The 15,696-nt window shown below is 49.1% G+C and overlaps 1 long non-coding RNA gene across 1 annotated transcript; it reads right to left on the bottom strand.

Annotated features, from left to right (window-relative positions):
- Nucleotides 1-2,399: 2,399 nt before the first annotated feature.
- LOC107984185 (uncharacterized) lies at nucleotides 2,400-8,921 on the bottom strand. The gene is made up of 3 exons (XR_001747311.2): nucleotides 8,552-8,921; nucleotides 6,758-7,784; nucleotides 2,400-4,953 (listed from the first exon to the last, which is right to left on the bottom strand). It is a non-coding gene; the product is annotated as an uncharacterized LOC107984185 (long non-coding RNA).
- Between the last annotated feature and the right edge of the window lie 6,775 nt (nucleotides 8,922-15,696).

The raw sequence follows: 15,696 nt of genomic DNA, 5'->3' as shown, positions 1-15,696 counted from the left end.
CAGGAACCAGGAAATGCCCATCTGGAGCTCCCGGGCTGAGGGTCAGCCACAAGGCTGAGCTGCGTCCTCAGCGTGGCTGTCAACCCATGTGCGTTCCATGCCTCAACTCTGCTGTGAGAACAACAGGGAGGGAAATTCGAATCAGCTTTTGACAGAGACTCAGGAAGTCTAACAGTTTAAAATTTCCAAAGCAGGACACGGTTTTAACATGGTGCATGGCTTGTGTTGTCTCCTGCAGGCGACACGCCCTGTCAAGGATCCCCCAGGACCTGTGCACCCCCCAACCCCAGGGCCCTCTCTCAACAAGCTCTGGCTCTACCATTCCTTCTCCCTCTCCATCTCCATCATGTTAGCCTTTTTAAAAATGTGCATTCTTTCCTGAGGTGGAGGAAAGCAGTCTGACTAGGACAAGTGTAAGTGATGGTTCCAACCACCCCATTTTAAAAGAGAACAACTGCTCTGTGTGTGTGTCAATGGCCCATTTCTTTTCATTGCCGAGTAGTAGTCCCTTGCATGGATGTACCACCATCTGCTTATCCAGTCACCTGTCGATGGACAGTGGGTTGTTTCCAGTCTGGGCCTTTACAGATAAAGCTGCTAGAAGCTTTGTAAATCTCTGCTTTTAAAAACACCTCTTTAAAAAGAAAGTGATAACCCGGACAAAGAACCCTTATCTGAAGGTGCCTGGCCAAGAGATCACCACCCACCATTTCCTCCCCATACATGTCTTGACTCAGAATAGGGGCCTTTTCAAGGCCCAGTTTGCTCTGCTTTTTCCTGTGACTGCAGGAGATTCACTCTCAACTCCAGCCTTGAACCAGTCCCTTCCCATCAACCAGTCCCCTTTGAAGCTGAGCAAATGAGGGGCTACTACTTAGGCAGAGCCAAAGGAGGTTGGATTAACCATAATCATGCATAATTTACGTGGAGTTTGTGCAGCCGTGAAAATAGGCCAAGGCATATTTTAGACAGTAAATCAGACTTGATGAATTGGAAAGGCTGTTTGGCCTGGGTCATTTCCAGGGAAGCCTGCATGGCTGCTTTCCAGCCAGCCTGACTCAGTTTCCCCTCGAGCAGCCATCCGAAGGGCCAGCTTTCCTTATGTCAGCCAGCGGCTCCTGCCGCTGTCACAGCAGGCATCTCAGGGTGTGGACTGTGACTTCACCGGGGGCACAGGGCTGAGTCTCACTGAGAAATTCTGCAAGGGATCTGAATCAGTGATTTCTCCAAAGAACCGGACAGGGGCCTTGCCTGTTTCCCCGCATGTGTGCCACTGCCGGCTGGGCCACCACAAACAGGGCTGTGTACCTTTAAGAAGCAAAAATTAATGCAAAGCTTATTACAATCCCGGTGGTTGCTAGCACTCTCTCTCTTCCACTGCCCAAGTGTCTGAATTTCAGCTTCAGATGAGTGTGGCCTGCTGGGATTTGAGCTGCCAGTTTAATTAGTGTTCAGTAATTTCAATAATGAGTGACAATTCATCGGGGCTTTTAGGTTGGTCTTCTGTTCAGAAGCAAATCAATAATCCACAGTTTTTCCCCTTCTTTAAAGACAAGAAAGTGGCATGTGAGTTACATCAGATGAGAGAAAATAAATGAGGAAACGCTCAAGTCCCTCAGTAACTGGAGAGGCAATTGGCTTTAATGGCATGGGCAGCCTCCCTGGTTTGTTGATGTTATTGGAGGAACAGAAAGGTCATTAGTAGCTGGAAAGAGGCTCTCGGATTCTCACCGTAAACAGTTTGCCCTGGCTGTAACCATAGTGATTTGGGTAAATGAACACAGGTATACGGATTACTACTGTATTCCCCAGGCTGCCTGTATTATTGCCTCCGAAGATATAAAAACAATTGAGGCTAATTGTATGAGAGTGAGTTTATTACAAACATAAATGGAAAGGAGAAAAGAAAACCAGAGATGTTTTCCTGGAGACTCCCCCTACCTCTGTATCTATCATCTACGCCCATGCTGGCGTCTGATCTGCCGTTGCTGTCCTCTTGTCCTGGGCTGCCTTCGGAAAGGCACCACGCGTGGAGATGCACTGTTGCTGGAAATTGGGGCTTCTGTGGGTTTGGAGATCTGGTTTTAAGTGGGCTGTCATTAGGCTCCAAAGTGCGATCAGGACTCGCAATTATTTTTGTACTGCTGGTGGCTGCACGGACCAGAGGCGCTTCAAAGCCAAGGAAACGCATTTATCTCACCTAAGGCATCGGGATGGTACGCCTTGCCCCAGCCAGTGGCTGAAAAGTTACCTGCATTATGGCGGGTACCCTGCCAGTCAGCGGGAGCGGTAGCTTTTTTGTAAACTCGCATGCTCCCTTTTGTTACAGCTACAAAGACTCCATCTTCATAAGGTGTTGTGATTTGCCGTATACAAACCCATTAAAAAAGCACAAATGAAATCCCCAGCTGGGAAGGTCAAGTCTAATGAGGTGGGCTGTTGCGAGGAGTGGTAGCTCACAGCATCCCCCATGTAGGCCAGAGGTGCTCCAAGTGAACAGCTGCTTATAATTATTCTCATCTGACACTTTTCATTCACCTCAGGTGCTATTTTTTTTTCTCACAAGAGAACAGATTAATTGTATATCAACTGATATACATAAAAAAGGGTTTGATAGAAGGCTTAATAAAGTAACATTAAATAGGCAATCCCACTGAAATTCTAATGTGTATATTCTTAATTAAATTCCCTTGTACTGTTCAGTAATTCAGGTGCATCCTGTTTCCTTTTGCACTCACGGAATAGAAAGCCTGGAATGAGGGCAGAAAGGAAGACAGGCGCACGACGATATCACACTTTCTTCCTTTCAATCCCTGCCCACCTAGGAGGAGTCTGAAAAGAAAAAAAGAAAAGGAAATTGGCAAAGTGGTACCCAAGCTCTTATTGGAACCTGTGCCAGATTCTAACACTAAAGAATCCATTTGTGCCCGTTAGGATTTTCAGAGTAGTTACCTTGTGCCGGGTGAGAAGGTGTAGCCTCATTAAAATAAAGGATTCAAATGAGAGAAAAATAATAGAGAGAAAGAAAAGAGTAGAGAGAGAGAAAGAAAATAAGAGAAGGAAAAGAAGGAGAAAGAGGAGAAGGTGAAAAAAGAGAAGGACATGAAGAAGAAGAAAAGGGGAAGAGAAAGAAGGAGATTATGAAGTAGAAGAAAAGGAATTCTGAGGAGAAAGAGCTGCTCAGCAGCCCTGGGTTCACTCCAGAGTGTAACTGTTGAGCTAGAGAAGAATAAATATGTGTTTAAAACCAACATGTAGAGGTAATGATGTGGTTGTAATTCATTAACTGCCTTGAAGGGAATCCTGCAAAGGCCCTTTGCTCAGCTCCAGAGCAGCTGCACCAAGAACAGCACCTCGGGGCCATCCTCTTTCAACTGTCCAATTTTGCCGCGTTGGGGAAATTGCAGATTTTCCTTGCAGGCCTAAAAGTAACTCTTTTGCTACAAGGGAAGAGAGAATATCAAAACAAGGCAAGTAAAGTGAAGTACTTTTTTCCAAAATATTTGCATGGAAATAGCCATAGGATTGATAGAGACAGAAGCCATTGCTGAATTGTCTGGAAAATGGCATGACTCTTGGTCAGATGCAGATTGATAACTTGGTTTGTAAAGTAAGTATATGACAATTCAGATAGATCGGGACTCAGCAGGCACAGCCCGGAGGACCTGCCAGTATACAAACACATTAAAGATGGCGGTGACCTCCTGCCAGGCAAGGAGGCCCTGCTGGAAGGAATAACTTGAATAGCTTCTGAAGTCAATGGGCTTCCTGGCCTGTGAGTTGAATCCCACCAGCAGGAAGAACAATCTGGAATCCTTGTGCTCACATGGTGCATTGCACTGTCACATGGACCACTGGATTTGTAGAAGAACCGATGATGACCAGGCTCTGCTACACGGAAGCTGCATGACCACAGGCAAGACACTGGCCCCACAAGCCTCAGTGACCTTTTCCATAGATGGGCTAATACTGTCCACCTTCCAGGTCTCATGCTCTCACATGTCCATTCACTGACTGTCCCCTAGCTCCCTGCACTGTGCCAGGGGCTGCCTTGTCCTCTGCAAAGGGACATGACCATGCCTTGCCCCCATGGAGTCGTGCTGGTGGATGCAACAGCAGACACAAATGCCACAGTGTCCGGCATCCATGAGTGCTGTGGAGGAAGGGATCATTTAGGGACCATCCCAGGGATGGCTGGGTTTCCTGGCAGGACCTCTCTGCCCAGAGTTGAAGGAAGCAGCCTGGAGAAGGCAGCAGAAAGGCATTCTGGGCCCAGAGAAACTCAAGGGTGATGAGCTGGTACAGAGGTGACCCTGGCTTGCAGGTGAGGCTGAAGGGTGTGGCAGGAGCGAGACCCAGGCTGTGATGGGCCACTTGAACTCCGAGAGCCATGGGAATCTCCAGAGCATCATGCCCAGAAAACCATCAGTCCAAGAGCACCAGCTGAGGTGTGGAGAGTGGGGCAACCGGGAGGAGGCTAAGCAGAGACCCACTGAAAGGCTGTTAGTGACTCTCAGTGATGGTGGAGCTGGAGGAAGATGGCAGTGACTTGAGCTAGGTTCATGGCAGCAGGATAGAATGTCAGGGCCAGATCTGGGACATGTGTGGGATGGAGAGCTGCAAGCACTCTAAGGACAGCACCCAGAGCCGTGTGGCCTGAGCCGTGGCCAGGGGCAGGGTGAGAAGGCAAGGAAGCCTGTGTCAGGGGAAGAGGCTGGAGGAATCTGAGGTTCAGCTGGAGATGCCTGCAGACACTCCAGGGCCGGTAGGCAGTTAGGAGGCCTGAATGAGACGCTGCAGACCCTCAGTGAATGCCCCCCAGTGCAACAGAAATAAGGTAGGAATGAAAACAACACGGCACAAACCATTCTGAGCTGTATTTGTGATTCCTCTGTCACTGTTAGTCTCGCCGGAAGCTGAGCATAGAATCTTCCATGGTTGTAAGAGTGAAACCTGAAAAATAATTAAATGCACACAAGCAGGTACACACATATACATACAATACAACATATAAGCACACGTACACACAATAGATGAAGACGAGCCCACACAATCCTACATATACAAGTGCACGCTCATGTATGTACACACAGATGTGTACATATATGCTTACATGCATGCACACATATGCATATGTGCACACATACACAATATACACATGCACCTACACACAGACTCTCAGGCGCCTCTGAAGTCCTTTGGCTGTCAGTGCTGGCATGGAAAAGCCTTCAGTGCCTGCACGGTATATAAGATTTGTTCTGGCCAAAATGCACGAAAGGTCTTACTGGAACCTTCTTAGATTCTTTATCTTTCTGGGCCTGAAAGGTGGTTTTTCCCCCATCTGCTTCAGGTGGGTCCCAAGGAACTTTGAGTTAAACCTGCAGAATTGGGGCAGCTCAATCCAAGAAGATACCTGTGCTGCCCTTAGAGCAATGGGGCTAGAGTTGTTCCTCTCCTGAGACAGGACAAGCATTGCTTTGCTAGCTGACCTTAATAGGAAAGCGAAAATTCTCTTCCTTGTCAGGAACCAGACAGGGCAGGTGGACCTCCTGCGCCAGTTGGCTCTGTCCTGGCCTGAAGATTCCATGGCAGGTGCTTGGTTTCCTTCAAGGGCAGTCGGCCACCTGCCACCCCACCCAAAACCTGTGTCCTGTAGGCCCAGACAAGAGCAGCAGGAGCCAGGTGAGCATCTTGTAGGAGGTGCCTCCTTGCTCTTTCCAGCCACAGCCCTCACTCCAGCCCTCCTTCCCACTAAGCCCCCAAGGGCTTGCTCTTGCCTGCCAGATAAGGTCTCAGTGGCTGAGCGCCCCTTCCTGACCTGTCATGTGACCCTGCTTCCTGCCTGACCCTCTCCACCATGGAGTCTCCTGACCATGGAGTCTCCTGCCTGACCCTCTCCACCGTGGAGTCTCCCGGCTCATCCAAGCTGGGCTCGTGGCTGTTCTCCTAAACGCTCCCTGTGTGTGGCTCTACAGGCCTCGGCTCAGGCTGCTCCCTCATCTTGCACAAGTATCCCATGACTCTTGTTGACTCTCAAACCTTATGCTGAAGACAGCCCCTGAGCCTGGGCCTCTGGGACCAGCGGCCAGACCAGTGTCAACATAACACCCAACAGCTGGGTAAAAACCAAAAATGTCTATCTGGAATTCTCACAGATAGACTGTCCCCAGACAACCAGATGCTCAACTTCATGGAAAAAAAACAATGAGACTTGGGTTATGGAAACTCTATAGCCGAGAGCATGGCTTACTGTAGCCAATGTCAACCAGGATCTGGGGCTTGGAGAGAACGAGCCTGCAAATCCATCACCAATTAGAAGCCCTTGAAACTCAAAGATATTCAGAGGGTGAATCTAGGTCAGAATGACTGAAAAGTCCATCTTCCCAAAGGAGAGATGGGGCATTCCTCCCATGGCCGCGGTTCCCTCTCTGTCGATTTGCTAACCCGCCAACTGTGCCCCAGGGCAGGGGAAGCCATCAATCCAAACTTCTTTGACCTCTTGAGACAGGGAAGCTCTGTGCTGGGTTCCTTCCTAGACATATCAGACAGAATCCTCACCCAACCTTGTGAAAAGTACCATTATTATCCCATTTTTAGATGAGGAAATGAAGGCTCAGCTAGAACAAATAAACTATCTGAGACCACCCAACTGGGATATGATGGAATCTTGACATGAGGCAACCACCCAACTGGGAGATGGTGGAAACTTGACATGAGGCACTGATGTTTTCAAGGCATTTCTTCAAGCTGTGCCTACCTTTAAGCAAAAGGAGACATATTCTCCATCTGACATCACCATTAAAACTTCAGTTCCTCATAGCAAAATCTAAGACACAGAACGAACAGTAAGAATTTAAACATCTAAACCACACAATACATATTTTTTAATGTTTGAAATTCTGTAGAGGTGAAAATGGCCCAGGACGGTGGGCTTTGGCTTGGCACGGGCAGGTCCCAGACCTCGGTGAGCTTCCACATCTCCCTCCACATGGCAGCCAGGAAGAGGACGCTGGGCAGTGGAGATGTAGTTTTTGGGAACTAGGAATTGCAAACGGAGGCCACACAGGTGTGCAGGGGCCTTCCCTGCTGTGATGATGGAAGTCACATCAATTTTGGCGGTCAGTCCAGCAACTATTAGGGCTTTTGTGAGCAGCTTCACCCCGACAATACCTCTCACAGAACGAGCTGCCCTTCTAGTCTGACTGCCTTGCTCCTGCACGCCGAACTTCTTGTCTCAGCGGGATGTGAGAGGATCTGCTGACCTTCCCTGCAAGCTCAACTGGAAAAGACATGACAGACGCAGGCCCCGACAGGGAGCAAGGCAGAGCGCTCCGACAGAGTCATTCAGCAACCACTGGGCACTGGTGCTTGCCAGGCAACAGGCACCTACTGTGTGGGAGGAACTGGACCCACTGTGTGTGAGGAATGCAGACCCACTGTGTGTGAGGAATGCAGACCCACTAGTTGTGAGGCCTGGGGCTGGGAGTTGGGGGATAAAACTGACAATTGGCTGTCATGAGGAAGACTCAGTAGCCTCTCTGTCAGTCCCTTCATAGTCAGGGAGGCGCTGGCATCTGAATGTCCCCTGCCTAGTAGGGCAGTCTTGCCCTTTGACTCAAGCCTTTCTTTAGGAGACACAGGAGGGTCCCAAGAAGTTTCCAGAAGAAATGCCAGGAAGTCAGAACCTGTTCCTGAACCTCACTGCCTGCAGCCTGCAGGATGCCAGGGACTGGGAAGCCGGGCGCAGCCTCTCTCTCCGGGTGATGAGGCCCAGCACACAGGACCTGGATGGGGAGGAACACATGAGATCAACCCCCAGCCCCGCCCCTGAAGGCCGTCCCTGCATTCCCTGGGCTTTAGTTGGCTTGTCCTGAAATAACGGGTCTGAAAGAGGTCATGGCCTCATTCCTGCCCTCTGTAAAGTCCATGCCCACCTTTTTAGCCATCTCTCACTAAGGTTTCCTTCTGGGCTACAGGCATCAAGTTCCTGCCCAGGAGCAGTTCGAGGTGGTCTGGTCTCCCAGACTGGCCAGGACAGGGTCCCGTGCGTGGGCTGGAGCTGGGAGAAGAGGCAGTGGAGAGCGATCCCCACACGGGGCATCTCTGTGAGCAGTTTCCACTTCGTCCCCGGCTCCAATCAGAGGAAAGCAATGAGCCCGACATCTTTGTTTTATACACATGCCCTCTGAGGGTCGGGTCTGGAGACAGAGGCAGGGTGGGGGCCACAGCTGGAAGAGAAGGGCAAAAGCCACGCGGGCATTTTGAAAACTGTCACTTTAAAATATGGGGTATCCCCACTCAGGCTTCCAGGCAGGGCCACCCCCTGCTGATGAGGAAAAGAGCTGGTGGAAAAGAAAACCGGCTAGCAGCCCTAAGGAGGCTGGAGCCCGCGTGTGGGGGAAACTTGTTTTTCAAAGAAAAAGAAGAGAACTGCTGAGCCAAAGCATGCATACACTTTCTCTTTAAAATTCACATCAATACACAATGGAGGCTACGCCAACAGAAGCATCTATGAACACACACACACACATATACATCGGCAGAGCCTTACCTTCGTGTTTAGATGTAAAAATCTTCCCTGTTTTCTTAGCAATAAGAAATGAATGGATTTCTTTAGACTTGAAGCTGGACGATGACTTTGGAGAACTTGAAAACCCCACCATGTGGCCATGGGTCTCCCCTGTAGAAACTGCCACCAGTGGGGTCCAGTGATTAAATTTCATGAGCTGAGTGGCATTGGAATCACGTGCGTGGCTTTTAAATCCCAAGTAGTCCCTGATTTTTTTTTTAATATCTGCCAAACAGAACAATGAGACCCTTTTAAGTCCCCCAGTGAGCAACTATTAAAACCACAATTTACAACTGTACATATCATCTAACGTGTTAACCAGGTGTTCCAGTGTTATTGTTTGAAATTCTACCTTGGTTTAAATCAAATGAAGAAAAGCCAAAAGTCCAATTAAAATCCCACATTGCCTCTTTATCGAGGGTAGGTAAAAGACATTCGTTGTAGATTTAAGGGCAGAAATCTCATAAAATGCTAGGCCATCCTTTTTGCTTCTCAGTTTCTTATTTCTTACTAGATTCTCACAGCTTACTGGCATTTCCTGTTCCTAGCTGAGGGAAAGAAAAAAAAAAAAAGAACGAGAATAAATCTAGGAATTTCTGGCTTAATTTTAGTAGCATCCTGGACACTCTAGCTGAATTTGACAATTGAGTGTTGTCATGGGATGTTAAAATTGCGCAGTGGGCTCATTTAGTCGATTATTTCACAGGCTGTCCCTTAATAAGTTCCATGCCTCTGCTGGGCCCTTCTTGCCAACATGTGTCCATTGTGTTTAATAGTTCAGTGACAACAAATTTATGTTGCTAAGCTCCAAAAAGTGAATCCAACCCAAATACCTCCCCCAACTGCCTTTGCAGACATTGACCAAGGCAATATGGAATTCAGTTGTCTTCACTCGATGTAATTATTTCCAGACTTAAACTGCCTGTCTTTGTCTTTGGCCATTTTTCTCATTCCATCATGACCCTGAAATACTGGTGATACTTTGGGTTTGTGGTTTTCTACTTAGATTTCATTGTCACCTCCCTCCCACCATTGAATCTTCTGTAGACCTTCATATGCCTCCAAGTCTTCTTCCTTTCCCAGCGGACTCTCCTTTCTCTCTCCCTGGCAGAATGAGCTTTGCAGAATGAGCTTTGCCGTGAAGCTGGCTCACACAGTTCCCTGGGCCCACCTTCCTCTTCCAGGGGATGAAATTGAAACAAAAGGATTTTTTGGTGCCCTGGGTGCACTATAATAAATAGGATAATCTGATCAATCAGATCAATTTTTTTTCTTTTCACAGAATTCGTGAAACTGAAAAAAAAAATGTGTCTGTTACAGCACATCTGTTCTCCTTTACGCCTTATTTAAGAAAATAATTCTTGCCAGATTTTTACCCACCCATAATCATTACACCATTTTTACAGATGTGGTTTTTAACAGCTTCATTTTGGCCCCAAATCTTTTATACAATTTGCAATGAATTTGCTTCTTGGCTTGCACTTCATTATGATTTGGCAATAAACAGAGGGAGGTAAACGAATCTGTTCCCAGGACTACACCTTTCATGAATGTTCTGCTAACCCAAACGAGGAGAGCAAAAACGATCACTGTCATCATTACCGTTATTATTGTTATTATTATCAGCAGCAGCAGAACAAGACTTATAAGTTTTGCACTTGAGTATTTCATTTGGCAGTCACCCTTGGATTGTTTTTCTTTATTCTTAATTATCTACTCCCTTTCTGAGCCCAGCCCGGAGAAGGGCTGTTCTTGCAAGTCCCTGGATGCAGACAAGGAGACAGGTCTCTCCTCCTAGACAGCATTCAGCAACCCCATCTCAACAATGTGCTATGCACAGGACAAGCACTGTACAAGGAGCCCCCCCCGGTCCAGGTGAGTGCCCAGCACCCTGGTGGGTGAGGCAGATACAGAGAGGCCACCGGAAGGGGAGCAGGTGTCATCCTGTGCCAGAGGCTCCAGATATGCCGTTGAGGAAGGTGGGAGCTAAACACAAGGCCAACTAAGAACCAACAGAGTCAGGCAGACGGAGCCGGGAGCGGCTGCGATGGAAGCCCTGAGCACACTGGGAGGAACCGGTGTGGATGATGATGTGGGCCATAAGCTGGAATCTCCACCAAAGAGAACCAGCAATAGTGCTGCACACTTCCAGGTGTTTGTCCACGGGTTGTGTCCTTTAGTGCTCATGGCAAACTTTGGTGGTAAATGCTCCGTCCCCATGTAGATAGGGAAACAGACTCAGTGAGATGGCGTCCACTGTGGTGGCAAAGCTCGTGCACCCCGTAGGTGTCATGCTGTGGCCACATGGGGGCTCGGGCAGGTCTCTTGGCCTTCCCTGTAGGTTGTCTTCTGAGAGATTAGAGTTGGCGCCACCATCAGAACCCATGTGAGCTGCACTGTATCGTGCCAGTTTCCGATTACGAAGCATGAGTTCCTGCTGGCCTTGGAGCCACCTGAGGACACACACCACTGGGAACAGGAAAGAACTCAAGTACAAGACACCACAGTCAGAAAAAGATGCCCATGTGCCAAGGGCCAGCACAGGTTCAATCTCCACAACCACAGGATGGGGGTCACCAATCCCCAGGTTGGTCACCAATTTCTGCTGCCTGCTGGTCCCCATATGGCTTGGCATTCCTAAGTTTGCTGGATTTCATTAGTTTGCTTTTTGTCCCGAACGTTCTGCACTGTGTTGACATAGACATGAAAATTATTTATCTTCTTTAATATCCACCCAAAACAACAGCAACAACAAAAATAATGCAAGCAAACAAAAATCACTCACAGGAGAGTCAGACTTTCCTGAAGTGGAATACACGGAAGGGTTGACATTGCCAAGACAAAAACCACTGGAAATGGAATGTGAGATAAACAAAATATTCTTTTAAACCTATTTCTAGTCTATTCTCACAGCTCAGACCCAGGCCTCCCAAACTATGGTTTGAGCCTCCACTCTTGCCTCTTCTCTTTCTGCTTCCTCCCTCCCGGTCCAACAACAAAATCTTGCCATTTGCTCCTACTGGTTGATTCTGCCTTTCTCAGCTGGTTCTCTCAATCCTGGCTCCAGGCCTCTCAGGCGGAAGCAGAGGAATCAAGTTCATCAAAGTCCTCAACCCTAAGGCTTGCTCTAGGTTGGTGGTGGTTGCATTTTTTTCTAGTTAGTAAATAGTTCTGCAACGACTGCAAAGAAAAAATGCAACAAACTGAGCAAGGCCCTGCATCGCAGCATGCCAAGGCGTGCTCCATCGGAGCCTCGGGGCAGGGAAGGCCTGAGGCAGGGCAGCATCTGGTGGCATCTGCTGCTGCCACTCCCAGTCCTCTGCAGGCACCTTTTGGTGGGTCCTCTGCTGGGCAGACAGCGCTATCCCCGAAGCAGAATGGTTTCTCTTCTCCAGCACCGGTGCATAGGAGGTGCTCAGATATACTCATGAGTATTTCATGAATGAATGAGGGTCTTACAGACAGTAGGAAAGACCTTGGACAAAGCCAAGCTACAGCCCTGCATCGGACCCTAGAGAGTGCTGGTGGAAGAGAGCTGAAGGAGGACACACCTCATGGACCTCATTCTCAGGAGGGGAGAGGGCCTGCAATTCAGGCCGTGGGAGCAGGAAGAGCATGGACAGAGGTTGGGAGGGGCCCCCTGGGCACTTGGTGGGCAGCAGGCCACCTCCCACGTTTCCTTCTATGTGCCCTGCCTTAGAGTCTGTCCCTGCTCCTCCACTTTGTCCCTCTCCTCTCTCTTGCCAGCCCTGAGTCTGATGTCTCTAAAAATTATTGTCCCTATCTACAGACGGCATGATGGGGGCAGCAAAGCCAGGTATGGCCAGAGCAGTGCGGCCCCCATTCAGCCCTGGTCAGACAGCTCCAAAATCCCCTCTAAAACTCCAGAGCTTGGTGAGTTCCTCTGGCTGAAGGGAACATTTCAGGACGAACGTGCACAGTCTGCATAGTCCCTGTTTTTAGATCCCATTGCCTTTGCAAAAAGCCTGAGTCTCCACCACCAGGCTGAGCTCCCACAGAGAGTCCCCAGGCCTGCACCATCGAGGGAGGGTCTTGGGCACTGGACAGGCTTCATGCGTCCCATCATAACATGGAGAGACTCCCTGCAGGGCCTGTGCTCTGTAGCCCACCCCGGGCAGGACGTAGGGGAGTAACTTCCTCACCCTCCTCCTGCAAGCCCTCCCTCGAGGCCGGGTGGGAGAGGCAGAAGTGCGGTAGGCTGGGTGGGAGAGGCAGGGAGGGAGTATCAGACCCCAGATGAAACAGCCTCCCAGTTCCGAGTGCCCACAGCATAAAGAAAAGTAATTCTCTCCAGGAGCTTCCAGAGGATTTCAAGTTTGAGAGAGAAGGGCCCAGCTGGCCAGTAGCTCTGACCACAGCCTGGCCCCAGCCTGGGACCTCAAGTGGCAACTGTCCCTCCTAGCGCCCTGCAGCCATGTCCCTGGCGACCCTTGCTGGGGATCCTGGGCCAAGTTAGGTTGTGTGGGGCAGCTTTGTTTTTGTTTCCCTTCCAGTGTCAGCCCAAGGCACTGGCAGCCTGCGAGAATGCTTTGCATGTTTCCTGTGGTGCACAGGGCCTGGCATCCCTGCCCGTCACGGCCCAGGGACCTCTAGGGTACACACTGCCCAGGGTCCCCCCAAAAGGCCGGAGCTGCCCTTCCAGCTGGGCACCCACCCAGCGCCCACGTGACTTCCTCCAGCTCCTGGCTCCCTGGGCTCTGGGTACCCCTGGGGCGTCAGCGGCAGGTCTGGGGCCTGGGGACAGGGGTGGGGCCCAAGTGGGCCGGCGGGGCCTCCGGAGCTGCACGCACGCGGCTCGCTCTGGGCTGGGAGGACGCGCACTGCCGGTCATGAATTTACATGATATTCAGCCGCCTCTGCCACTTAATTCACGCAGCGGCCTTGGAGCCGGAAGAGGCGAGCGGAGGGACCAGAGCCGATCTGGTCGACGCGGTGTCAGAGCCGCCCCGACAGCAGGCGCGGCCAGCCCCGGCCCGCGACAGTCACCCCGGCCCGGCCTCGCGGGGCAGGGTCCCCCCGGCCGCCGGCCCGACACGGAGCAGCAGCGCGGCCCGGGCCCTGGGTGGTCTGGGGACTGAGGGTTGCTTCCCCGCTCATTTGCCTGCAAACGCCCTCACCTTGTCAGCGCCAATAATTATCCAGTCGGTGCTACTCAGAGCTGCCATTCCTTAAGATTGGATTAGATTGAAGAGGCTGAGGCCGGGCTCCTCTGTGCATTTTCGCAGTCAGTTAGCGTAATCACTGGGGGCCTTGCCGGGCCTACAGCAGAGCTACACTAACTTTCTCTCCCCTTCCTTATTACGGAGCTTAATAACAGCAGGCAGTGTATTAATATGTAAGAGATCAAGAGATTATTGATTAGAGTCACTTGCCTAATATCCCCTGTCCGTCATGTAGTTCAGCAGCCCTTTCATGATTTTTTGTGTCAGGCCATTTAAATATTCATGACTGAGTTGCTTTGTACCGCCACGGCTGAATTTCTAATTAATCTGTCAAAAGAAATACAATATGCCCGGAAGCCTTATTATTATAAGGGTCAGCTGAAACAGAGTTGGCCTGGCGCGGCCTGAGGGGTAATTAATTATAACAATGCCGTGTTTACCTTGTGTGGTACCTGCGGCCTAAATGAGGGCTAAATTAGACTCAAACCACTCCAGTCTGCGTTTGAAGCTTCCTGATATGCCAGACTAGATCATGATGACGGGAGGACAGAGCCGAGAGCCGCGGCTGTGTAACAACATAATCAGCAATTATAGCTGCGAAATGGGGAGAAGGGGGAATTTTATCTCATTAGAAAAGCCCAAGTAGAAAGTTTTTTTTTCTGTCACCAGCTCTTTCCTTTAGAATTCAAATGGTTCCACTCTAAAGGTGAGAGATCTCAAATCTAATTCCAGTGCAGAGAGCTGGCCTAATTAGTGGTATACTTTGGCTAAAATATGAATGACATTTGTTCCAGCTTGCAGCGGCCCTATTAATAGAGGGTGTCAGAGTGAAACATTAAGTGTATCATTCTTCTGTCAATTTATTTCTGTCATTATTGTTTCTTTATTTCCTCTGCCACATTATGGTCACTAATTTCTCCTCACTTTTATGAGATTCTTAATGCGGGCCTTTAATGAACTCCAAAAACTCAACCACAACTCTGAAATTAAAATACTAGGCTCCTGTCAGGGTGGCACGACAGAGTAAAACTTGAATAGTATCATTCTTCTGTCAATTTATTTCTGTCATGATTTTTCTTTATATCCTGCCACATTATGCCCACTAGTTTAATTCCATTTTTATGTGACTTGTTAATGTGAATTTTAGGTGGCTTTTAATCACCTCCAAATTTGTAGAATATCACAATAAATCATAACTGTATCCCCTCTTATGACAATTTATTTCTGTCATTATTTTTTATTTCTCCTGCCTTATTACAACTCTGAGTTTCATCTCCTCCTCTGTGACCTTTACATTGTTGCATTTTAAAGAGAAGCACATAGAAAGTTTGCTCTTTCTCAGGAACTCAAAGAGGGAAGCCATTTTCCCGGTCTCCGGTTTTCGTCGCCCGTGCGGTGGGTCACAGGTGTGCTCGTTCGCTGACTCGGGACGGCAAGACGTGTGCCTCCAAGGAGCAAAACATTGGCTGGGAATTTAGAAAGAGAAAGGGATACTGGAGCAAACAACAACAACAAAACGGAGACTGTCTAGAGATAGAGTGATGCGGAAACCCTAAGTTGAGTTACTGAAAACATCACTGATTTCCTTCCTGAAATGAGAGTCCCATGATTGTGCAACTTGGGGAAGAGAGAGCCTGTCAGACAAACGAGCTTGTACTGTGGCTGTTGATTCTGCTCTCTCAAGTTCATCTCTTAAAGCGGATTAGCCAAGGCTGGCCTGTGGGCCAAACCTAGCTCCAACACCACTTCTTTGTATACAGCCTGATTGTAAGAATGGATTTTACATTTTTAAACGGGCTGACAAAGAAAGCAAAAGGAGAATAATATTTGGTGACATGAAAGTTACAGGAAGTTCCAATTTCAGTGTCCACCAATATAGTTTTGTTCGAACACCACGGCCCTTCGTTTATGGGTTATCTATGGCTGTTTTCACGTTACCATGGC

Source organism: Homo sapiens, chromosome 10, assembly GCF_000001405.40.
Source record: "Homo sapiens chromosome 10, GRCh38.p14 Primary Assembly".
Lineage (NCBI taxonomy): Eukaryota > Metazoa > Chordata > Mammalia > Primates > Hominidae > Homo > Homo sapiens.
Note: the sequence above shows the minus strand (reverse complement) of the source record. Positions and strands in the feature narration are given on the sequence as shown.